This window comes from Homo sapiens, chromosome 1 (assembly GCF_000001405.40).
Source record: "Homo sapiens chromosome 1, GRCh38.p14 Primary Assembly".
Classification (NCBI taxonomy): domain Eukaryota; kingdom Metazoa; phylum Chordata; class Mammalia; order Primates; family Hominidae; genus Homo; species Homo sapiens.
Genome location: NC_000001.11, coordinates 20,999,349 through 21,025,241, shown reverse-complemented (window position 1 = coordinate 21,025,241; position 25,893 = coordinate 20,999,349). Strand labels below are relative to the sequence as shown.

The 25,893-nt window shown below is 39.9% G+C and overlaps 1 protein-coding gene and 1 pseudogene across 64 annotated transcripts in view, besides 3 other annotated features; both read left to right on the top strand.

Moving 5' to 3' along the window:
• The window catches only part of EIF4G3 (eukaryotic translation initiation factor 4 gamma 3), a 370,606-nt gene that overhangs the window by 151,656 nt on the left and 193,057 nt on the right, over positions 1-25,893 (top strand). For 34 of the 64 annotated variants that reach the window (XM_047433321.1, XM_047433366.1, XM_047433324.1 and 31 more), the window contains one exon: positions 22,434-22,529. The exons of 1 other annotated variant lie outside the window; for it this stretch is intronic. In XM_047433321.1, coding sequence (XP_047289277.1) covers positions 22,500-22,529 — 30 coding nt within the window. In that variant the 5' untranslated portion in view covers positions 22,434-22,499. Of the gene's footprint in view, positions 1-22,433; positions 22,530-23,917; positions 24,044-25,893 lie in introns of all 64 variants that reach the window. 29 more of the 64 variants (XM_011542370.3, XM_047433231.1, XM_047433196.1 and 26 more) reach the window with 2 other exon arrangements.
• Positions 2,332-2,626: a silencer, noted in NCBI's record as "tiled region #2723; HepG2 Repressive DNase matched - State 5:Enh". NCBI's record gives its function as "represses a minimal TATA promoter and a strong SV40 promoter by Sharpr-MPRA in HepG2 cells {active_cell/tissue: HepG2}" and the evidence as "EXISTENCE:reporter gene assay evidence [ECO:0000049][PMID:27701403]".
• Positions 2,698-2,842: an enhancer, noted in NCBI's record as "145 bp enhancer 38 fragment used in the MPRA reporter construct; PK_construct_3869". NCBI's record gives its function as "activates an SV40 promoter by MPRA in HepG2 and K562 cells {active_cell/tissue: HepG2 | K562}" and the evidence as "EXISTENCE:reporter gene assay evidence [ECO:0000049][PMID:23512712]".
• Positions 2,765-2,775: a transcriptional cis regulatory region, noted in NCBI's record as "NFE2L2 motif; enhancer activity is reduced when this motif is scrambled". NCBI's record gives its function as "necessary for full MPRA enhancer 38 activity {active_cell/tissue: HepG2 | K562}" and the evidence as "EXISTENCE:site-directed mutagenesis evidence [ECO:0005528][PMID:23512712]".
• Positions 21,278-21,731, top strand: RPS15AP6 (ribosomal protein S15a pseudogene 6; annotated as a pseudogene).

Sequence of the window (25,893 nt, the reverse complement as noted above, 5' to 3'; positions counted from 1 at the left end):
CGTCTTTTTAGTCTGGCCCTAATCTAATCCTCTGATGTCACCTCCTCTCACTCTACCTCATGCACTTCTATTCTCTGGCATTACTGACGTGTTTATGGTTCAGCAGACGTGCCCTAGTTTTTCAGGTCTTTGTGCTTCTGTTTAAAATATTCCTTGTTTTGCCTACACATGATCTCCTCTGCTTTTTATGGCTGACTGCAAGCTCACCATCTATCACTGTTGATCTGCCACCTTTGGAGGCTCCCTGGAACTCTTCTCCCAGGAAGAATTAATCACATTCTGCTCTGTACTTCTTGATATATTATTCATACTCCTTACACCACTTTCTTTTTTTTTTTTTAAATTTATTTTTTTATTGATAATTATTGGGTGTTTCTCACAGAGGGGGATTTGGCAGGGTCATGGGACAATAGTGGAGGGAAGGTCAGCAGATAAACAAGTGAACAAAGGTCTCTGGTTTTCCTAGGCAGAGGACCCTGCGGCCTTCTGCAGTGTTTGTGTCCCTGATTACTTGAGATTAGGGATTGGTGATGACTCTTAACGAGCATGCTGCCTTCAGGCATCTGTTTAACAAAGCACATCTTGCACCGCCCTTAATCCATTTAACCCTGAGTGGACACAGCACATGTTTCAGAGAGCACAGGGTTGGGGGTAAGGTCACAGATCAACAGGATCCCAAGGGAGAAGAATTTTTCTTAGTGCAGAACAAAATGAAAAGTCTCCCATGTCTACTTCTTTCTACACAGACACGGCAACCATCCGATTTCTCAATCTTTTCCCCACCTTTCCCCCCTTTCTATTCCACAAAGCCGCCATTGTCATCCTGGCCCATTCTCAATGAGCTGTTGGGCACACCTCCCAGACGGGGTGGCTGGCTGGGCAGGGGGCTGACCCCCCCACCTCCCTCACGGTCGGGGCGGCTGGCCGGGCAGAGGGGCTCTTCACTTCCCAGTAGGGGCGGCCGGGCAGAGGCGCCCCTCACCTCCCGGACGGGGCGGCTGGCCGGGCGGGGGGCTGAACCCCCACCTCCCTCCCGGATGGGGCGGCTGGCCGGGCGGGGGGCTGACCCCCCCCCACCTCCCTCCCGGACGGGGTGACTGCCGGGCGGAGACGCTCCTCACTTCCCAGATGGGGTGGCTGCTGGGCGGAGAGGCTCCTCACTTCTCAGACGGGGCAGCTGCCGGGCGGAGGGTCTCCTCACTTCTCAGACGGGGTGGTTGCCAGGCAGAGGGTCTCCTCACTTCTCAGACTGGGCGGCCGGGCAGAGACGCTCCTCACCTCCCAGATGGGGTCGTGGCCGGGCAGAGGCGCTCCTCACATCCCAGATGGGGCGGCGGGGCAGAGGCGCTCCCCACATCTCAGACGATGGGCGGCCGGGCAGAGACGCTCCTCACTTCGTAGATGTGATGGCGGCCGGGAAGAGGCGCTCCTCACTTCCTAGATGGGATGGCGGCCGGGCGGAGACGCTCCTCACTTTCCAGACTGGGCAGCCAGGCAGAGGGGCTCCTCACATCCCAGACGATGGGCGGCCAGGCAGAGACACTCCTCACTTCCCAGACGGGGTGGCGGCTGGGCAGAGGCTGCAATCTCGGCACTTTGGGAGGCCAAGGCAGACGGCTGGGAGGTGTAGGTTGTAGCGAGCCGAGATCACGCCACTGCACTCCAGCCTGGGCACCATTGAGCACTGAGTGAACAAGACTCCGTCTGCCATCCCGGCACCTCGGGAGGCCGAGGCTGGCGGATCACTCGCGGTTAGGGGCTGGAGACTGGCCCGGCCAACACAGCGAAACCCTGTCTCCACCAAAACCAGTCAGGCATGGCGGCGCGTGCCTGCAATCGCAGGCACTCGGCAGGCTGAGGCAGGAGAATCAGGCAGGGAGGTTGCAGTGAGCCGAGATGGCAGCAGTACAGTCCAGCTTTGGCTCCGCATGAGAGGGAGACGTGGAAAGAGAGGGAGACCGTGGGGAGAGGGAGAGGGAGGGGGAGGGGGGGAGGGGGAGGGGAGGGGGAGGGAGAGGGAGAGCCCTTACACCACTTTCTATGTCATTTTTACTGTTGTTAGGTAAATTGTAAATCCCTGTGCATAGGAATCGTGTCTTTTTCAACTTGATTTCCATGACTTAGAATTGCTACTGCAAACAAAAAAGAAAAACTCACAAACTTGTTAGATTGCTACATCTGAAGTCAAGTATAGTTTGAGAGTTTTTTTCATTCTAATGTGAGTAAAAGTTTTTGCGTGCCTAATGTTTTTAACTGAGGGTACTACTAATTAGCATCCTCGAAGGAAAGAAAACTGAAAGTGATTTTGCTTTAAAGCTTGTTATTCATAGTAAAAGAACATTTACCATGTAATTCAGGGAAGCTTTAGAAAGAAAACCTAGGGGATCTGTTGGCCATATCAAAAAAGTACAAGCTACATGGACAGTGAGGTGATACTGTAATACTTCCACCTGTAGGTCAACTGGAGAGACTTGGTTTTTTCCAAATAGACCTAGCTTAATTGTGATGACGCATGCCAACCTAATTAACCTCCTAATGTTACTTGTCTTTGTTTTTGTATTGTCAGGAACTTGGTGTGTGGGTTGGGAATATTAGAACATAATAGAACTATGTGATGTCTAAATTGAGCTTTAACACAAACTGGTTGGTGTTATTGAGGGAAAGTATAACTTATTAGTGGGAATGGGAAAAGAAGCCTGATGTTGTGGTGAGGTAGAAATTTCCACTGTGTTACTGTGAACAGGAAGTAAAGGGCTAATGGTCGGTGACTCAGCTGTTTTCTGAACCTGTCTCATATGATTCAGTGTGCATGATGTCTGTTTATTCTCGACAGAGTAAGTACTACGGGAGTCACATTACACAGGCAGACATAATGTTTATTTAACCAACTCAGTGATGACCTAAAAATAACTTGTGGGGTTTTTGTACTACATTTAGCATAATCAGATAGAAAAATCATAATGGACACCCATCATTGAGTGCTTTCCCTTATAAATAACTGGATATATAGTCAGCCAGTACTATTTCATTTCTTACATTGTTAAGGTGCAATCTTTGGTATTTAAATGAAAGGTAGCAAAAGAAGATAGCCTTTAAATTATCCATAAAATAATTCTGTACCATTTTAGATTATACTTTGGACAGATATGCATTTTCGGTGCTTAGTGCCATCGTTGAGGTATTTTTGCACCAAAATTTTCATATAGGAACCTTTTTGTGAGGCTATAGCAAATGTTGTTTTGAAATAGAAATTTACGTATTTGCTGGATTTTATGTTAATATTAAATTATAGTAGCAATAGTTTTACTTTGATTTTCTTGATTTATTCATCTTGTACTGAAGGTTTGTGCCTACCATGTACTGTAATTGAGTCTTAAATATGTCAGAGCCGGGCACGGTGGTTCATGGCTGTAATCCCAGCACTTTGGGAGGCTGAGGCAAGTGGATCACCTGAGTTCAGGAGTTCGAGACCAGCCTGCCCAACATGGTGAAATCCTGTCTCTACTAAAAATACAAAAATTAGCCAGGCATTGTGCTGCGCGCCTGTAGTCCCAGCTACTTGGAAGGCTGAGGTAGGAGAATCGCTTGAACCCAGGAGGCAGAGGTTGCAGTGAGCCGAGATTGCACCCCTGCACTCCAGCCTGGATGACAGAGCAAGACTCTGTCTCCACATAAAGAAAAAAAAAGAAAGAAAGAATCTTAAGTATGTCAGAGTATGGTTACTGTTATGCTGTATACCTGTTACATGCTTGGCTTTGAAGGAGAGAGCACTTGGAAGCCTGAGCTTACATAATAATCATAATCTGCTCATTGTCTGAGAAATTGTGAGTTGTTATGGTTTATTCTTTTTGACATTTGAGTATTCTTGCTCTCAGAGGTGCAGCATTTGTAGCATGTAAACTTTAATCAGAGATTATTTCAAAAGGGAAAGGGAAGCTAGAGTCACTAAGAAGAAATAGGCTGGGCACAGTGGTTTATGACTATAATCCCAGCACTTTGGGGGGCTGAGGTGGGCGGATCACTTGAGGCCAGGAGTTTGAGACCAATCTGGCCAACATGGCAAAACACTGTGTCTACTAAAAATTCAAAAATTAACTGGGGGTGGTGGTGCATACCCATAGTCCCAGGTATTCGGGAGGCTGAAGTATGAGGATGGCTTGAACCTGAGAGGTGAAGGTTGCCGTGAACAAAGGTCTCACCACTGCACTCCAGCCTGGCTGATAGAGGGAGACTCTGTCTCAAAATTAAAATAAATACATAAATAAGAAATAAATGCCAGCATTCTTTTTACAATAATGCTTTATGTAGTGGGAATGTGTGATCAATCTAATAGTCAGTAGAACTACCCAGTGGTTGATGCTATATATAAAGTAGGAAATACGTACCCTTTCTATAATTGATTTTAAAAGTTTCTGCATTAAGCTTACACTCTTTTATTTCACTCCATGTTTCAGTAAAAATCACAGGACTTGTTTTTATTTACAATATTATACCATTGTTTGAATATTTAATGGGATTTATATTTTAAAATGTTTTAGTTGGTATAGTTATTAGATATTCTGTATTAACCTAGAATGGAAAATTAAAGTATGTATCTTCTGATTCACTGCATGTAAATAGGACCTGACTTGGACATCGTTTGAAATGTATTCCAGTAATCGCGCTGGCTATACATGGTCCCATACCTGCCCTTATCCCAACAGATAAATGGTATTCTTCTTTATTTATTCATTTATTTATTTATTTATTTTTGAGACAGGGTCTCACTCTGTTGCCCAGGCTGGAGTGCAGTGACATGATCTTGGCTCACTGCAACCTCCTCCTCCTAGGCTGAAGCAGTTCTTCCACCTCAGCCTTGCAAGTAGCTCAGACCACAGGCATGCACCACCATGCCTGGGTAATTTTTAAATTTTTTTTGTAGAGACGGAGTCTTGCTGTGTTACCCAGGCTGGTCTTGAACTTTTAAGCTCAAGCAATCTTCTCACCTCCGCCTCCCAAAGTGCTAAGATTACAGATATGATCACTGTGCCTGGCCCCGCAAATTGGTCATTTCTGATGGTTGTCTGGGCCTCAAAGCCTGAGTTCAGCATAGTGTTTTGGCACGTTGCAAAGAATAAGTAAGAAAATGTTGTTAAGTGGACGCAACTATTCCACATGGGATGATGTTAGATTTGAAGAAGGAAAAAGTGGTTCCTCAATTCCTTTCAGATTGGCAGTTGCAATAGTAACAGAACCCTCATTGACATGAAGAGCCAATGTTTTCCTGTAGTAGAGGAATTATTTTCTTGTTTTATTTAATTATTTATAGTGTTTCTTGATTATGTTCATGGGGGCATTTTGTTTTGTTTTGTTTTGTTTTGAGACGGCGTCTTGCTCTGTTGCCAGGCTGGAGTGCAGTGGTGCAGTCTCGGCTCACTGCAAGCTCTGCCTCCTGGGTTCAAGCGATTCTCCTGCCTCAGCCTCCCTAGTTGCTGGGACTACAGGCATGTGCCACCACGCCCAGCTAATTTTTTGTATTTTTAGTAGAGACAGGGTTTCACCATGTTGGTCAGGATGGTCTCGATCTCTTGACCTTGTGATCCGTCTGCCTTGGCCTCCCATGGCATGTTGTTTTTAAATAACTTCTCTTGCTCTATGAGATGAGAAAATATGTATTCTGTTTGGGACTTTCTTACTCTCCCTCGATAATAAAAGATAAAAATTTTTATTTTTCATTCACTGAAACATAAAAAAGGCATCATGTTTTGTGCAGACTATTAAATGTTGATTTTAAGATCTGTGTTGGATGGTTTTATATAGCTGTCTACCATTTATGAGTTTCATGTGGAATATACTACCATATCAAGTTTTCATTGTTTAAACAGCTCTACTTTGTCAAGTATTGTTTACAATTCAACAAGAAACAAGCAAGCATTTACAAATATACGTGCAAATATGTATTCGTCTGACAACCAATTAGTGAAATTGAATAAGTGCTCTTGAAACAAACTTGTTTGATATCAAGCTTTTGTGCTAGAGTAATATTGTTGTTTTGACTACTTTAAAAGTGTTTTTATCTGGATGTGGTGACTCGTGCCTCTAGTCCCAGCTACTTGTGAGGCTGAGGCAGGGGAAGATCACTTAAACCCAGGAGTTCTAGGCTGCAGTGAGCTATGATTGTGCCACTGTACTCCACCCTGGGCAACAGAGTGAGACCTGTTCTCTTAAAAAAACTTTTTTTCAGTTGTGGTAAAATACACAAAATTTACCATCTTTCTGAGATCATTTGCTATAAAGGAATACCTAAGTCTGGATTATTTGGGGGTAAAAAAAAAAAAAGAGCTTTATTAGTCTCATGGTTCTGTAGGCTATACAAGAAGCATATTGCCAGACCAACACCTGCTTCAGATAAGGGCCTCAGGAAGCTTCTACTCATGGCAAAAGGTGAGGGGGAGGTGTGTTCAGAGATCACATGATGAGAGAACCAGGTGACAGGCTCTTCTAAATAACCAGTTCTTAAGGGAACTAAGTGAGAACTCACTCCAGCAAGGATGGCAGCAACTCATTCATGAGAGATCAACTCCCTTAATCCAAACACTTCCCATTAGACTCCAGCTCCAACATTGGGGGTCACATTTCAATATGAGATTTGGAGGGGTCAGTATTCAACCATAGTACCACCTTAATTTTTTTTTTTTTTTAAGAGAAGGAGTCTAGCTCTGTTGCCCAGGCTGGAGTGCAGTGGCGTGATCTCAGCTCACTGCAACCTCCACCTCCTGGGTTCAAGCGATTCTCCTGCCTCAACCTCCCGAGTAGCTGGGATTACAGGCATCCACCACCATGCCCTGTATTTTTAGTAGAGACTGTGTTGGCCAGGCTGGTCTTGAACTACTGACCTTGTGATCCGCCCGCCTCGGCCTCCCAAAGGGCTAGGATTACAAGCATGAGCCACTGTGCCCGGCTCACCTTAACCATTTTTAAGTTTATAGTTCCGTGGCATTAAGAACATTTACATTTGACTGGGCACATTGGCCCATACCTGTAATCCCAGTATTTAGGGATGTCAGTACAGGGGCATTGATTGAGCCCAGGAATTTGAGACCAGCCTGGGTGACATAGCAAGAATGTGTCTCTATAAAAGATTTTTTTTTTTTTTAATTACTGGGCATGGTGGCACATGCCTGTAGTCACAACTACTTGGGAGGCAGAGGTGGGAGGATCGCTTGAGCCTGGGAGATCAAGGCTGTGGTGAGCTATGGTTATGCCACTGCACTCCAGCCTGGGTAACAGAGTGAGACCTTGTCTCAAGGAAAAAAAAATATGTAATTGTCAACACTGTGTATCTTCATACCTCTTTTCATCTTGCAAAACTGAAACTTTTTGTCCATTAAATACAGATCTAGTGTCCCTTATCCAGAATGCTTGGGACCAGAAGAGTTTTGGATTTCAGATTTTTCTGAATTTTGGAGAATTACATTATTTACAGGTTCAGCATTCCTAGTCTGAAAATCTCAAGTGCTCCAATGAGCTTTTTAAATTTTTTTGTTTCATGCCAACTCTCACAAATTTACAGATTTTGGAGCATTTGGATTAAGGACACTAAACTTCTTTTTTTTTTTTTTTTTTTTTTTTTTTGAGACGGAGTCTTGCTCTGTCATCCAGGCTGGAGTGCAGTGGCACGATCTTGGCTCACTGCAAGCTCCACCTCCTGGGTTCACGCCATTCTCCTGCCTCAGCCTCCCGAGTAGCTGGAACTACAGGTGCCCGCCACCACGCCCAGCTAATTTTTTGCATTTTTAGTAGAGACGGAGTTTTGCCATGTTGGCCAGGATGGTCTCGATCTCTTGACCTCGTGATCCACCCACCTCGGCCTCCCAAAGTGCTGGGATTACAGGCGTGAGCCACTGCGCCCGGCCAAGGACACTAAACTTCTAACTCCCCATTATCTCCTCTCCCCATCCCTTGCCAACCACAATTTTATTTTCTTTCTCTGTGATTTGCCATGGTGTCGGTACCTCATAGAAGTGGAATCAAACAGTATTTGTTTTCTTGTGACTGGCTTATTTCATTTAGAATAATGTCCTCAAAGCTCATCCATGTTGTAATGTGTGAGAACTCGCTTCTTTTTAAAGGATGAATAATATTTTTTTGTATGTATGTGCCACATTTTGCTTGTCCATTCATCTGTCAGTGAACACTTGGGCTGCTCCTACCTTTTTAGCTATTGTGAATAATGCTGATATGAACATGGGTGTGGAAATATTTATTGTTTTGTTTCGTTTTGTTTTGTTTTTTAAATGAGAGTCTCGCTCTGTCACCAGGCTGGAGTGCAGTGGCGTGATCTCGGCTCACTGCAACCTCCGCCTCCTGGGTTCAAATGATTCTCCTGTCTCAGGCCCCCGAGTAGCTAGGACTACAGGTGCACACCACCATGCCCAGCTAATTTTTATATTTTTTAGTAGAGATGGAGTTTCACCGTATTGGTCAGGCTGGTCTTGAACTCCTGACCTCAGGTCTTGAACTCTTGACCACCTATCTCGGGCTCCCAGAGTGCTGGGATTACAGGCATGAGCCACCGTGCCCGTCCTTTTATTGTTTTTTTTTAAGACAGGGTCTCATACTGTCACCCATGCTGGAGTGCAGTGACGCGATCATGGCTCACTGTAGCCTTGACCTTCAGCCTCTGGAGTAGCTGAGACTACAGGAGTACATCACCACACCCAACTAATTATTTATTTTTGGTAGAGTTGAGTCTCACAGTGTTGACCAAGTTGGTCTCCAATTCCTGGGCTCAAGTAATCCTTCCACCTCCACCTCTCAAAGTGTTGGGATTACAGGTATGAGCCACCACACCTGGCCACAAGTATCTTTTTTAAGAGTCTGCCTCATTTCCTCCCTTACTGCCTTTTGTTGTGCTTAGTTGAGTTTTTGTAGTGACACATTTTGATTCTCTTTTTGTTTCATTTTATGTGTAGTCTACAGAATTTGTTTGGGATGATTATCAGAGGGATTTCATGTAAAATCATGAAGTTATAAATATGTATTTTAAGGTGATAATAATTTAACATCAGTTGGTTACAAAAACCGTACTTCTTTTCACCTCAGGCCTCTCCAACTTTGTTATTGATGTCACAAATCGCATCTTTATATAGTGTGTGCCCTTAGATTTTTATGCTTTTGTCTGTTAAAATCCTGTAAAAGAATAAAAACTGGACTTATGAACCAAAATTTTAATAATAGAGGCTTATATATTTGTCCATGTATTTATCTTTGCTGGAGAACTTTATATTTTCATACGGTTTTTAGTTACTGTCTAGTTCCCTTTCTTCTCAATTTGAAGAATCTTTGGTCATTTCTTGTAGGGCATGTCTTATGGTAATGAACTTTCTCAGCTTATTAATTTCATTAATTTAAAATTTGGGAATGTCTTAATTCTTCCCTCATTTTTGAATTAAAATTTTGCTGGATATAGAATTCTCATGTGATAGGGTTTTTTTTTTTTTTTTCTTTCCTTTCAGCATGTTGAATAATGTCATTCTACTACCTTCTGGTCTGCAAGTTTCTGCTGATAATCTTATTGAGGATCCCTTGCTTGTCATGATTCAGTTTGATCTTGCTGCTCTCGAAATTCTTTTCCATTGTTTTTTACCTTAAAAATTTGTTTTTTGTATAGACAGGTTCTTGCTGTGTTCCCCAGGCTGTTCTTGAACTCCTGTCTTGATCCCTCCAAAGTGGTGCAATTACAAGCATGAGCCACTGTACCTAGCCTGTCTTTTACTTTTGACATTTTGAATATGTGTTTCCATGTGGGTCTCTTTGGTTTTTTTTCCTATGTGGGGTTCATTGAGTATCTTGCTATCATATATCCATGTCTTCAAATGTGGGAAGTTTTCCCCCATTATTTTTTTTGAAATAATCTTTCTGTTCCTTTTCCTCTCTCTTCTTCTGTAATGTGAATATTGATTTGCTTGATGGTGTCTCATAAGTCCCTTCGGTTCTGTTACCTTTTCTTTATTCTTTTTAATTTTTGCTTCTCAGACTGGATTATTTCAAATAACTTTTCATTAAGTTCACTAATTCTTTGTTCTGTTATTAGAGACTGCTTTTGTACTCTTCTAGTGAATTTTTCAATTCAGTTATTTTTTCAGCTCCAGAATTTGTTTCTTTTCTTCCCCCCCTCCTTTTTTTTTTAAACTATTTCTATCTCTTTGTTAATATTCTCTATTTATGTATCTTTTTTCTGATTTCATTTAGGTCTCTCCTCCCCCCCACCACCTTTCTTTAGCTTATTGAGTGTATTTAGGACAGTTTAAAAGTCTTTGTCTAGAGGCTGGGCATGGTGGCTCACGCCTATAATCCCAGCACTTTGGGAGGCCAAGGCAGGCAGATCACTTGAGATCAGGAGTTCAAGACCAGCCTGGCCAACATGGCAAAAACCCCGTCTCTACTAAAAATACTAAAACTAGCCGGGTGTGGTAGTGCATGCCTCTTATCCCAGCTACTAGGGAGGCTGGGCAGGAGAATTGCTTGAACCCAGGGGACAGAGGTTGCAGTGAGCCAAGATTGTGCCACTGCACTCCAGCCAGGGTGACAGCATAGGACTCCATACCAAAAAAAAAAAAAAAAAGGTGTTTGTCTGGAGCTGAAAGCCATTATCCTAACTGAACTAACACAGGAACTGAAAACGAAATACTGCATCTTGTCACTTACAAGTGGGAGCTAAACACTGAGTACACATGGATGCAAAGAAAGGAACAACAGACCTTGGGGCCTACTTGACGATGGATGGTGGGAGGAGGGTGAGAATCAAAAAATTGCCTACCAGATACTGTGCTTATTACCCAAGTGACAAAATATCTGTACACACGCAACCCCTGTGACACACAATTTACCTGTTTAACAAAGCTGCACATGCACTCCTGAACCTAAAATAAGAGTTAAAAAGAAATAAAAACCAAATACCCCAGGAACTTGTCTTTAACTTTTGAACTGGGCCAGACAACCACAATCACAACATCCTTGAAAACAGCTGAATTATGCCAGCGCCTCCACCGGTGATAATTCTTTCAGAACAACAACAACTTGTTTTGTTTTGAGATGGAGTCTCGCTTTGTCACCCAGGCTGGAGTGCAGTGGCATGATCTCGGCTCACTGCAGCCTCCACCTCCCAGGTTCAAGCAATTCTCTTGCCTCAGCTCCCAAGTAGCTGGGATTATAGGCACCCACCACCATGCCCAGCTAATTTTTATATTTGTAGTAGAGACGGAGTTTCACCATGTAGGCCAGGCTGGTCTCGAACTCCTGATCTCAGGTGATCCACCCACCTCAGCCTCCCAAAGTGCTGGGATTACAGGCATGAGCTACTGTGCCCAGCCTATTTCTATACTTTATGATATTTGTTCAAAGTCGAGCACTTAAATAGCCAGCTGTTCTAATCTTTGTGGACTGATTCCATGATGGGTAACATCAGGAGTATCAGCCTGGTGTGAAGGCTTAAGGTCTTGTTGACCTTTTCTGTGTTTGTATATTCACTGGGCCTATGTGAACACTTTTCCCCAGATTCCTGGGATGTATCAGTGCTTTTAGCTGCCTTGATCTAAGAGTGGCATGTTAGATGTTCTGTTGTGTTCCTCTGCCCTTTGTCTTTTGTCCCTCTAGCACTGGCAGATCGGTGACATCCCTGTAGCTCTCAACTAAGCCACTCTTCCCATCCGAACTTTGCATCAGGTGAAACAGTAATCAGTCCCATGAGCAGCACCCCCAGACAAGCCAGAACGATGCAAACAAGTTCCACTCTTTTCCTTCTGTCATGATGGAGCATCTTAGAATTAGGTGGATTCCTCCCAACTTGGCCTCAATGAGGAGGGATTGGAGCAAGGGCAACCTCTAAATATACATACATATATACATTAAAAAAATTTTTTCTGTGGCTGCCTTACAAATTATTGTTCTTTATTTTAATATTTTAAAAAATTTCCTATATTGTTTTGAGTGTGGCTTTTTCTCGATGGGGCATTTAGTTGGCTGCCGCAGATTCTTAACTGCTTGAGAGAGTTTGCGTCTGGTTGAAATTATTACACAGTTGAGTTGGCAGCTTCTTTCACACTGTGATCCCTCCCAGATTCTGCCGGCTTCCTTCCCTGAGGGCCCCTCTGAGATATAGTCAGGGATAGCTTCCCTGGACTCTAGCTGGAGAATGTGAGTGCTTACAAAGCTCTTCTTGCTACTGCTTCTACTTTCATATTCCGCACTAAATCTGCTTTAGTTCTAGGTAAGGTTAAATCCTTCTCCTGTAATCTGGATTTTCAGTTTTTTCAGTGGGAATGTGTGTTCGGAGGCGGGTTTTCCTGCTTTTACACTTGGGGAACTCACGGTTTCTCACCTGTCTTGTGGAATTTACAGCGGCGTGCCACTTCTTTTAGAGGATCTGTGGATTCTTTCTGTTTTCCCGATATGTTCCTATGGTGGTTCTTGGCACAAAAGTCCATGGTGTGAATCTCCACATGTTGTTCTGTCCATCCAAGTGGGAGCTGCACGTTAATCCTGTCTCCTATCCGCCATCTTCCTCCCTACTTTTTGTTGGTCTGGACAGGGAGCTTGTTTGTTCAGTCACAAAAGTTTATTCTTTGTGAATCCTATTGGCTTCTGTTCTCCAGTTCTCCAGGTTCTTACCGGTTTCTTGAGTTTTTACAAAGGTACTTTGGTCGGTATGTTGTTCACTTGGTGTTTTCATTGGGTGATGTGGACCTGGATCATCGTAGTCTGTTATCTTGGTGATGTCCTGTGTTTTTGAAGCAGATACACATGTTTTTGAAGCAAAAAGTGTCCTGCTTTATGAAGCAGATATGCATCAATAGAATTTTTGCTACTTCTCTTATTTCAAGCATTTTATTGCAGTGGGATTTGAAATGTGCACTAATTATACAGACTTGGGGAAAAAATTTCTCATGAGGTTGCAGGTGCCTCTAAGCAATGTGAATGGAAAACCATTTTAGGGTCACAATAAAATAATGTGCCATACCTGTGGAAATATGGAATAGTAAACGACTGTCCCGAAACCCTTAGGAATGAGAATGTTGGATTTTTTTTTAAGACAAAAACTTAAGGATGGATAATGTAAATGTTTAATAATTAAATAGCAAGAGGTAAAGGAGGAAAACTTTTAGTTCTAATATCAATATAGGCCAGTGTTCTCAAACTTTTATACTTCAGGATCCCTTTATACTCTTAAATAGAACTCTTTGGGCTTCTCAATCCTATGTGCATTGTATCTACTAATAAAAATGTCTGCCACATACCCATGTGTATAAGCATAGTTTATCCTTCTTTCAAGTAAAATGGCATTGCAAGAAAAAGTGGCTAGTTCAGTTTATAACTCTAATGGTGTTACAAGTGCTTTTCCTTAGTACTACTAATTTACCTCTGAACTGTTTTATGTCTTCTCACTTGATCAATACAGTATACTAAAAAGACATGCTAAATTTTGTTAGTTTACTGTTTTATTTATATAACATTCTTTAAATGACCAAATTATAGAGATGGAGGATAAATTTGTGGTTGTCAAGGGAGAGGAGTGAGGCAAGAAGGAAGATATTTGTGGCTATTAATAGGGTAGGTAGGGTAGGGTAATACCACAGATCCTTGTCAAGGAATATTTTGTATTTTGACTGTAATGGTGGTTATATGAATTTATACATGTGATAAAATTGCATAGAACTAAATATACACACAGATGTGCATGCATCTGTAGTGAAACTCAGGAAATCTGAATAAGGTTGATGGATTGTATCGATGTGGTTTTTCTGGCTGTTGTACTGTACTGTAGTTAGATATTACCATTAGGGAAACTAGATGAAGAGTATATGGGAGCTCTGTTTTATTTCTCAAATTCCGTGTAAATCTATAATTATTTCAACTTAAAAAGTGATACATTCTGTTACAGAAGTGACATTCTTTTGTCAATTACCTGTAGAATAAGAAAAATTGAAAAGTTAAATAAAGAAGTGACATTCTTAAGAACTGGCTTTTTTTTTTCTTTCCTTTTTTTTTTTTTAAAAAAAAGTTTAATTTGTCGTGAAGGCTTAGGGATGAAGAATACAATGACTATCATTGCCTTGGTTTTCACTAAGTATATGTAAGATTTACTTAGTGAAATCTCAGATTTCCTGAGTATATATTTAAGATTTACTAGTAGCTACATCCACCTTGCTTTTCTATCATTGTTGAAAATATCAGCACAGGCCTGTGACATCTTAGTATTTATTTTACGAAAATATTTCACCTCCCACACCTGCTTTAATAGCATTACAGAGATGCCCAGGACTCTGTGGACCACACTGTGATAATCAGTAGCTTAAAGCTTCAGTCTTTATTAGCTGAGGAAAACAAGTGCTATGCTTAAGACTGTGTAGGAAATTCAGTGATAGGTCTCTGTCACTGTCTCCAGCGTTTTATATTGTGGTCTTGTTTGTTGGATATTATTGTACTTCTATGAAAGTAGAGTTGCAGAAGTTTAGAGTGATATAAAATATAGAACTCATAAAAGCAAAACATGGGAATTAACAGTTTGCTATACCTGTGTTGTGCAGTATGTTAGCCATGGGCTATGTATGTGGCTATTTACATTCTAAGGATTAAAATGTATATAAATACAATTTAAATGGAAATCAGTGGTTATAGAGTTTGTTTTTTGCAAGAAGAAAAAGTTCTAGACATCTGTTGTACTATGTGCATATAGTTAACAGTACTGTATACTTAGTGGTTAAGATAGTAAATTTTGTTACATGTTTTCTTTTTTCTTTTCTTTTTCTTTCTTTTTCTTTTTCTTTTTTTTTTTTTTTTTTGAGACAGAGTCTTGCTCTGTCACCCAGACTGGAGTGCAGTGGCACTATCTCAGCTTACTGCAACCTTCGCCTCCTGGGTTCAACTGATTCTTCTGCCTCAGCCTCCCGAGTAGCAGGGACTATGGGCGCAAGCCACCATGCCTGGCTAATTTTTGTATATTGGCCAGGCTGGTCTCGAACTCCTAGACCTCGTGATCCGCCTGCCTTAACTTTCCAAAGTGCTGGGATTACAGGTGTGAGCCATCGTGCCAGGCCTTGTTACATGTTTTCTACCACAAAATTTAAATTGAATAAAATTCATTTAAATAAACATTTATTTTTTCAGTTTCATCAGTCACATTTCAAGTGTTCAGTAGCCACATGTGGCTAATAGCTACCATTTTAGAGAGAGTAAATATGGAACATTTATAATTATCCCAGAAAGTTCTATTTGCATTGGTTGTGTAGCACTTAAGAAGACAGTTTTCAGCTGGGTGGGGTGGCTCACGTCTGTAATCCCAGCACTTTGGGAGGCCGAGGCGGGCAGATCACAAGGTCAGGAGTTTGAGACCAGCCTTGCCAATATGGTGAAACCCCGTCTCTACTAAAAATAGAAAAATTAGCAGGGTGTGGTGGCACGCACCTGTAGTCCCAGCTACTTGGGAGGCTGAGGCAGAAGAATCCCTTGAACCCGGGAGGTGGAGGTTGCAGTGAGCCGAGATCGTGCCACTGCACTCCAGCCTGGGCGACAGAGCAAAACTCCGTCCCCCCACTACCCCCCCAGCACCCCCCAAAAAAAGAAGAAGAAGACAGTTCTCAAGAGGTTGAAGGTACTTGGTCTGGACTTTAAGGTGCTATTTTTGTTTCTCTGGCCAGATTTAAGTGTCAAACATTTGTTAGGTGAACGAGTTTCTCTCAATTAATTTGTACCCTATAATATCTACTAATGAGAATGAACGGGGCTGGATGTGGTGGCTCACCCCTATAATCCCAACACTTTGGGAGGCTGAGGCAGGAGGATTGCTAGAAGCCAGGAATTTGAGACCAGACTGGGCAACATTGGCAAGACCCTATCTCCACGAAAAATTCAAAAATTAGTCAGGCATTGTGGTATGTGCCTATAGTCCTAGCTACTTGGAGGCTGAGGCAGGAAGATGGCTTAAGCCCAAGAGGCTGAGGCTGCAGTGAGCTGTGTTGGTAGCACTGCACTTTAGCGTAGGTGACAGAGCGAGACCCTGTCTCCAAGGAAAAAAGAAGAAAAATGAATAAACACACTTATATATGCATAAAGAGAAGTTTATAAAGAGAAATTTTAAAGCAAAATTAAGAACTTGTATAAATTAATAGGAATAGCCTATTTTAAAACTTATTGGTATAGCTATGTAGTCTTATTCAGATTTTAAGATTTTAAGTCTTTACCAGCTCTAAGATGATAGAGATAGATTTGCATCTAGCCCCTTTACAATTTCAAATTTTACATTCCAACATTGTAATCAATCTGGAATTTCTTTTGGTATAATGAGTTGAGGATGGTTAACCACCTTTCTTCTAAATGATTATTTAGTTTTCTCAACACAATTTATTAATTTTGGTATTTTTCTATTAATTTGAAATGTTTCTAATACATTCTGCATATATGTGGGATTATTTCAGCATTCTCTGTATTACTCATTCCATGTCATTAAATGTTCTTCTGTATCTTTTTTAATGACTGCAAAGGATTATACACTGTGGCTGAGTAAGTGCTTCTTACATCTATATCTCTTTATTGATTTAATAATAAATTTCTTAAAGATTAAGTAGCCAGGGCGCAGTGGCTCACGCCTATAATCCCAGCACTTTGGGAGGCTGAGCCCGGTGGATCACCTGAGGTCAGGAGTTTGAGACCAGCCTGACCAACATGATGAAACCCCATCTGTACTAAAAATATAAAAAAATTAGCCGGGCGTGGTGGCATGCATCTGTAATCCCAGCTACTCGGGAGGCTGAGGCAGGAGAATTGCTTGGACCCAGGAGGGGGAGGTTGCAGTGAGCCAAGATTATGCCATTGCACTCCAGTCTGGGTGACAGAGTGAGACTCCGTCTCAAAGAAGAAAAAAAAAAAGATTAAAATAAGTGAAACAGTCATCTATCTTAGGCCTTATTTACGCACATAGCCCACAGCACAGTGTTTTCTTTGTGCTAGATTTCTGCTAATGCTGTTGATTTAATTTTTATTATCAAAAATTATTTAGAACTCTATAAAATAGCAGACTTCCTACTGGATATTCTGGTTTGCTTTGTATTTTGTTTGTTTGTTTGAGACAGGTTCTCACTCTGTCGCCCAGGCTGAAGTACAGTGGCACAATTACAGCTCACTACAGCCTGGGGTCAAGTGATCCTCCAGTCTTGGCCTCCCAAAGTGGGATTACAGGCATGAGCCACTGCACCCAGCTTGCTTGGCATATTTGTATTTCATGCAGGAGAAGCTGGAGGACAGAGGTTTTCTTTATTAAATTTTTATTATAAAATAATCCTACTGAACATTGGAAAGTAAAAACATAATACAGAAGTATATAAAATAAAACCTATAAGTTGTATCCTGTACACTCTTTATAACCGTCTCTGAAGTAGTCAATTTAAAATTTGCTACATATTTTCTTAAGACATTTATCTTCCTTGGTTGTTGTGTGTACTATGTGCATATATATAGTTTTTAAAGTTAAGACAGAGTCTTTTTATACTTAAAAATTCTACAATTTGCTTTTGTCACTTAATATTATTATGGACATCTTTCCATGATGTATGTTGACTTGATTCATTCTAAAGATTATTCTAAATTCTCTCAGTGACTAAGTACATAATCTCACCTTTTTTATATATAGACATTTAGAATATTTCCAGTTTTTTTGTTTTTGAGTGTGTTTTTTTTTTTTTTTTTTTTTTAAGGAGGGGCCCATTGTGAATATATTCACATAGTGAGCTCCCTGAAGTGGAATCATAGAATCAAAGGGATAAGCATGTTTAAAATGTGGTCAGTATTACCTTACAGTTTTTTGTTTTGAGATGAAGTTTCGCTTTTATCATCTAGGTTGGATTGCAGTGGTGCGATCTTGTTTCACTGCAACCTCTGCCTCCCGAGTTCAAGCAATTCTCCTGCCTCAGCCTCCCAAGTAGCTGGGATTACAGGTGCCCACCACCACACCCATCTAATTTTTGTATTTTTAGTAGAGACGAGGTTTCACCATGTTGGCCAGGCTGGTCTCGAGCTCCTGACCTCAGGTGATCTGCCTGTCTCTATCTCCCAAAGTGCTGGGATTACAGGCGTGAGCCACCACACCTGGTACCTTATACCTCTTTGAAAATTTGGCAGCTTAGTTTTTTAGTCAGATTTATGTTTGTTCACATACAGTGTGTACAATATTGAGTTTAATCTTTATGGCTGAATTTAGTTTAGGTGATGGCAGAATCTTAAAACGAGAAATGGCATTTCATCTCTGACTTATATGTAAAGTACTTAGAATAGTACCTGAAACCTAGTAAAAGCTGTATAAATGTTTTATGTTATAATTATTTTTGTTAGCTTATGTCCATTGTACTACATTGTGAAAATAGGAAATACAGATTAATTTTTTCACATGTCTATGGTTTGAAAACCATCACATCTGGAGTCTTGTTATACTTGATATGCTGTGTTTGTTTTGTCTTATAATGGAATTCACCATTTCTGCCTGTGGTTGACTGTCCAAATCACTGTTTTTAACATCATCATTAGAGATTTAAGGGTTATATGTACACCATAAGGACTGTTCTCATTGGCTTTTCTTCAGTAACATTATTAATTTACATCATTTGCTTGGTTTGCTGTCACTATTGTGTTCTTATCTCCCCAACAAATAAAAAGCATTCAAAAAGGTTTATTGAAACATAAAATTAATAATGAAAGTGAGAACAGATGTCTGTAACTCATCAACTTGGACAGTATACTGGATTGCAGAGTAAATTCTGTATGTTCACCCATATGTCCTTGAAGAAGTAAATATTTGGGATGACTTTGAAATTATTCGAAAAGGGAAAGTACAAACAGATGCTCTGATTATTATTGAAATGATCCTTCATTGATCTGTCCCTAGTTTTCTGTGCATTTGACATGAAACATGGTCAAAGTATGTTCCCACTGAAATTTTGCATTGTTTTTCAACAAAGCATGGTAGTAAATTAAGGAAATTATTCTAGAATAAGTCATTAAATGCAGAGAAGAGATCAAAAGAGTAGAGGCATCTTTTACAGTTGCACTGCTTACAGCAATGATAGGTAACAAGTCATACTGTTCCTAAGAAGTTTCTAAAGGCATCCACAGAGAATGGAAAAATGCTCTGAACGATCGTTGAATGATCTATTGGCAAAATTTCTTTGTCATGTGCCACCGTTAAGCATTCCATATTGCTAGTGGTATAATGGCATACATTGTGACAGAACAATTACTTGCATATGTGGCTGCATTAGAGATTGTGCTTTCCATTTGATGAAAGTACTTGTGTACAGAGTCTGAATTAGCTCTTGGCATATGTGCAATGTAAATATAAAAAGAAGTACTAGATTTTTATTTTTTAAGTCTGTTTAGAGTAGAAAGCCTATATAGAAAATAATTCTTTGTTTTTTTTAGTAATCACTTTCAGAGCAATGATATAATCTGGAAAAAGGCACATTGGGAACATTGTTGACAGAGCCCCAGCAATATCTGTGATCAGGAAGGGTGTTCTTTCTGAACAAAAGAACTTTATCTTTGAATGCCAATTCACATATTGCATTTTCAGTTGGCTCTATGTTCCCTTATTTGGCTTGAGTGTTGAAAATGTTGTTAAAATTTTGAGTGAAGTCAAATAAGGTTGTCATGTATATTTTTAGCATCTTCAATGAAATACAGTGGATTCCCTTTCTATTTCAATAGTACGACAGCTATGAGAGAACAAAGTGTTCCTCTAATTGAAGTATAGAAAGAGGTAACATTTCTTTATGTTTTTGTAAGTGATATATTTCAGTGTTATATTTAGTATCTTGACAGCTAGAAACTCCTGCTTCAGAATACCACCAAATTAAATGTGAATAGTGTCAAAATATATCCTAAGATCAAAGAGCCTCATTACTGAGAAATGACCTTATGAATACTTGATTTTTTTAAATTTAATGAAGAATTAAATTGGTGCTCTCTTTTAAAACTATATTCAGATTCTCAAATAGAAGTTGAAGAAATACTTTCCCTATCTCAGTGGAGCCAGAATTAATAAGAAATTCATTCCCTGTGTTTTCTTAAGTTAAAATAGTCAAACTTTCAGCCTTTCAGATTTCGGATGTGATACATACACATAAACGTTGTGTCTGAAACAGTGCTGAAACTAATCCATGATAAGAAAACTTTATTTTTAGATCCTGTTTGACCCATTTATTAATTATTTGATAGACATGAGATACTTTGCTGCCATATTTTTAGGTTAGTGGCTAGATTTAGTAGAACTAGAGTAGGAAAGGAAATCAATCTGATGTTGAACCTTAGTGTCAGCTACAGAGATGGCTATATTAAGATTACCACGTTGAAAGATTGCCGGATAGCCTCTGTGTCTAATATGAAGCCATTAATTTTGTTTTTTATAACTCATTAAAAAAAAGAAAAAGAAATTTTGTTTTGTTATTTGGAACGTATGATGAATCCTGTCAAGTATTTCCTTTAAAATTGGTGATCCCAGCTAAACGTTAAATGGTCAACAGATGCTAATACTTTCTAGATATATTATTTACTTTGTTATCTTAGGTAAGATACTTAAATTTTTCAGTCCTTGGTTTCCTCATTCATAGACGTGGGATAGTGATAAATAAAGGTGATTTGGGAATATTTTATCTCATTTAATCTTCACAAACTGCCTTGAGAGGTAGGTGTGTTGTTCCTTTTTACATTCGTGGGAAAGATAAATGAGTTGCCCAAACTAACAACAGTGTTCAGTAGCAATTGTTAGGATTTCAGTCCAAGTCTTGTGGATATGTCCATTGTTCTTGGTGGCATTTCATTTTAAATACGTTACAAGCAATTTTTTTATTCAGTAGCACACAGTATATTAGTCTATAACATTTGGCATGGATTTACAATGAAAAGCTTATGTTTTTATCTTCAGAAAATATATGGTAAATGAGCCGTGTGTATTACATTATCACTTATTCTAAGGTTTTATATAAGGTTCTTATTGGTTATTGATTTTTATGGGATCATGTAAAAGGATTAAGGTATGTAAGCTTTGGCAAGATTACAGCAATATATAACAGTTAACTGTGTGGACTGCTAATTGTGGCTCTGAGATGTCTTCCTCAAGGAAAGCACACCGTAGCAATAGCAAGTTTTCTCATCCATGTTTGATTTTGTTTGTGGTTTGGGCTATCCATTTCAGAACTAGATGAATTCACAGTAGGTCCTCTTAGCATTGATAATTTCAAATAATTGTACCTAGTCTTTCCTTCATCTTTTTGTGCTGCCATAATCGTGTATATGAATGTTCTGGTTGATGCTCTCAGGAGCGTCAGCAATACTGAATAGAGAGGTAACCACCAGAGTCTTACTAGGTCATGCTTTCCTGTTTCTAACCATGATGATGAGGCATGATAAGGCAATTTACATTGGCAAATTTGAAATCATTGATGATCAGAGAGCAGGGAAAATTGTTGTGAACCTCACAGGCAGGTTAAACAAGTGTGGAGTGATCAGCCTGAGATATGATGTGCAACTCAAAGATCTAGAAAAAAAATGGCAGAATAATCTGCTCTCATCCTGTCAGTTTTGTTTCATTGTACTGACAACCTTAGCTGGCATCATGGACCTTGAAGAGGCAAGGTGAAACACATAGGAGGGAAAGTTCTGGGATTCTTTTTCTAGCAACATAATACATACTTGTAAATAAAATGCCTTAATGCACAAAAAAGGAAAAATGGTTACACCTAGATTTTGGATTGCTAATGTCCTTTTATCAGGAGATTTATGGTAACTTAAAAAGTGTTGCATTAGCTGGTAAAGAAGCTCTTGCCTGTAGTCCCAGCTACTCAAGAGGATGAGGCGAGAGGATCTCTTTGAGCCCAGGAGTTTGAGACCAGCTTGGGCAAATATCAAGACTCTGTCTCTTAAAAAAAATTAAAAAGTTGTTCAGGTGCTTTGGGAAGCCAAGGCAGGAGTATTGCTTGAGGCCTGGAGTTTGAGCCCAGCCTGGGCAACAAAGTGAGACCCTGTCTCTGAAAAAAAAAAAAAAAAAAGAAAAAAATTAGTCCGGCACAGTGCTGCGTGCCGGTAGTCCCAGCTACTCCAGAGGCTGAGGTGGGAGGATCCACTTAAAACCATGAGTTTGAGGCTGCAGTGAGCCGTGATTGTGCCACTGCACTCTAGCCCGGGTGACAGAGCAAGACCCCAGTTCATTAATTTAAAAAAAAAAAAAAAGAAAGAAAAGGAACTGTACTGATTTTGAGTTACTGGATATTGTAATAAAGTTAAATTTTTAAAAAGTAGAATATAAACCACATTAATAACCACTTCTGTAAACTTTTATAAAACATCTTGAACTAGAATTGCCATGCCATATTTTTTCAAAATATTATATTGTTCTTGCCATTTTTTGACAGACCCCTTATCCCTCTGGACAGAATGCAGGTCCAACCACGCTGGTATACCCTCAAACCCCTCAGACAATGAATTCACAACCTCAAACCCGTTCTCCGGTAAGTAAGCAGAAGCTTGAACCAAATTACATTCTCTACCTGTGTTTGTGTGTGTAGTGGCTTGGGTTTCTTTGGCAAATATTTTTACTGGATTTTGGAAGTTTGTTCCAAAGATGATTTATTATTATGACTCCTACTATTATTTGTTAGCTTTGTATTTTCAGACCTTACCTATAGCAATAATTAAATTTATTGAGAAAAAGAAGAGGTGGAGCTTTTAACCCTCCACTCCCTTTTAATACTTTTCTATAGCATGATTTTTAAGTCTGGTTGCATTCAAGTTTACTTTATTTCAGCTTATAATTTTTGTTAGTTGTACTGTTCAAAATTCAGGTAAGAGTAAAATACAATGATTTTAGGAGTAAATTGAATTTCACTAATTAAATTCTCAAATTCCAGTGGTTTTGGGAAGCAGGACTTTTGAATCAGTGTTATTAGATCTGTTCTAACCATTTAACAGTGTGGGTATATGCATGACATATACCAGTGAGTGTATTCATTTATTCAAATGAGAAATAAATTGTGATACAAATGTAAATGCTATCATCCTCTTTGTTCATCCTTTACATGAATTGCAATAAGTACTGCCAAGACTGAGAATTTACACAAGGTTCATCCTTTGTTTCACAAAAGTATACAGTGGCTTCAGCTCTCCATTCCTTAGAACATCGTTTCCTGCCCTGCATGATTAGCTTTGGCTAGAAGGTGCTTCTGTAACATCTCACATTGTGTATCTCACATCCCTCTTTGTACCTCAGCTCTGTGTATTCTTCAGAATTCAGGGATATCTTTTTGTTCCCTGCCCCTGCCTTTTTGCCTGGAGTGCAGGAATACCTCATTGCATTAGCTCCTATTCATTTCATTTTATGCATGAACTTACAATTGTTTAAATATACCAAAGACTTACTTAAAGAACTAGGAGAGCATAGACTGCACCAAAATGTAATCTCTTTCTTATCCTTTTTCTATTTTCCTTTTCCCTGTTGCCCTGTTCTCCAATACCTGTTCTTAGATCCTGGTTCTCCCCAGTGGGTGGAGGAACCATTCTAAAGAGGTGGGACTTTGGTCCTAGTTGCCTGTTTGCTTGTCTCTTTTTTTGCTGAAATGGTCAATAAGATGTCTGATACAAGTTTTGTTATGAGAGTGGTTTGGGGATGTGTACACTTGACTTACTTGGGCCTGAGATCTCACCAGATCAATTTAGATAGGCCCTGGTTCTAATAATTAAACATGGAACATTATGGTAAGCTCCTATTGCAAAGAATTCTTTGGCCCTCTTTCTGTATACCCCCAACCCTAATTTCTGATTATCAAAAAAGAAAATGAATTAAATTTACATGGTTAGAACTGGCGCAGAACCTGACTGAAGAGCTGCATCTCTAAACCAGTTTTTTTGACAGCCCAGCAGAACAGTGCCAATACATTGCACAGACAACTGGAAGAGGAGGAAGGTTTTGGAACAGACTCCCGTTTACAGGTCCTTGGCTGGAAGAGGCTGGATAAAATACTGCATTGTAAGCAATATAACAAACTGTACTTCTTGCAGGCAGTGGTGCCTCTGGCACTTAGTATTTTTGACCACATCCATTTATTGGCTGATGAACAGAAATGCATTGATTGCTTCCTCTCTGAAAGTCTAACCTAGCATGGCAGTTTCTGCCAGGCATAGTGGGGAAAAGAATAACAAATTGGGTGGGTGTTCTCTATTGGGAATTAGTCAGGAAGAATTTGGGGGTTTAGATTTTTCTTTATTTTAAACTTGAAGTGAGATATCCCTTTCAGATAAATTTGAATTTAAAAGATAAATTTCGAGGCTTCTTTTTACTCCCTTTCAATTTTATAATTGAATATTAAGGAGGAAATTGTCTGTAGTTGTCAGCCATTTTTCTGTGGTCATAAACTCTTCAGATACTATCCTCTATACAATTTTTGCCATCTGCTCTGCTAGTGACCATTACCCACCCCATTACTAAAAATCACACACATAACATTCCATTACATACCCTAAAACAAGTGCAAGACTAGCAGACCCCAGACTACTCTTGCTTCTTGTTTTAGGTTTGATTTTCTTTATTTTGTTATGGGGTTTTTTTTTGTTTTTGTTTTTTGTTTTTTTTTTGTGCTGGGAGGGTGAAGTTGGGGTCTGAAATTTGGCAGGATTGCATTTTCTGTTTACGTCCCAAGTTGTCATAGTCTAGTCTCATCCATCTCACAGCTGTCCCATCTGGTGAGGAGAGGTAAGCTGTTACATTGAGGCAGGGCCTCTTCCTGTGGCTTTGTAGAGCAGCTAAAGCTTACTCCATTCTATTTCTGCATTAATAGGCCATTGGCAATTGCGCAGTTTTAGGCTTTTCTGTTCTTCCCTGGACAGCTGCCTTTGCAATCCAACTGGCTTCAAGTGGCCTCTGTCCTTCCTTCAGGTTATCTTTGTGCCTGTCTTTCTACTTGATGCTTAGAATCTTAGTTAAATTCATACTGTGGAAAGAAAATCTTTTTTAAAAATAATAACAACACTGATAAGCTATCTGTTCCATTTTCTCGTTTTACTGGAACTTTTAAACAGCAGTAGTTGTTTTTTTTTTTTAATAGCCTGTCTAAAGTAGTGAAGCTATTAAATACTTAATTTGGAGAGGGAGACAGTTTGGCTTTTGTAGTAACGTAACCATTGATTATTTTTATATTTTGTGGTGTTAAGTTTCAAAATTACATCAATGTTATGTTGGCCATGCTCAGTTACCAACTGTGCCCAGAAGGGGTGAGTAAGTGGGTGGGTGGCATTAACACTGGATCCAAGTTCACAGAAGGCTGCTTTCCTTTATATCAACAGTCCTCACCATCTTAAAGACCCTTCTTTAACAAAAAGAAAAGAAAAAAGAAAGAAAAATTTCTAGTTTTAATATGAGCCAGCAGCGACTACAGTTTGTTCTGTTGCTTACAGCTACCCATAGGATTAAGACTATTGTCATTTCAAATGAAAAACTCAATAGCCAATGGTGACTAGTGCAAAATAGACTAGGGTACTTTCCTAGGGCACTTTCCTACTAACTTAAGTTGGGGTTTTCTTTTTCGCTTTTGTTTTTATATATATGTAATTTTATAAGATACTCTTCTTGTTCATAGAAAATTCTCTTTTGACTGGAACATTCAAAATGTACAAAGTTTTAGCTTTTATTTTAGAGCCTTGAAAATGGGACATTTTCTGTGGAACAGTGATAAGACAGGTACTGCCATACTCAGGTTAATTTTGTAACATGGCCCCTCTCTTCCATTTTCTTCAAAAGTGTCATAAAGAAACATTTCACTCCACTCCCTACTTTCATACCACATGGGTGGTATTGCCTGTTCTTGTCCATAGTAGAAGTAT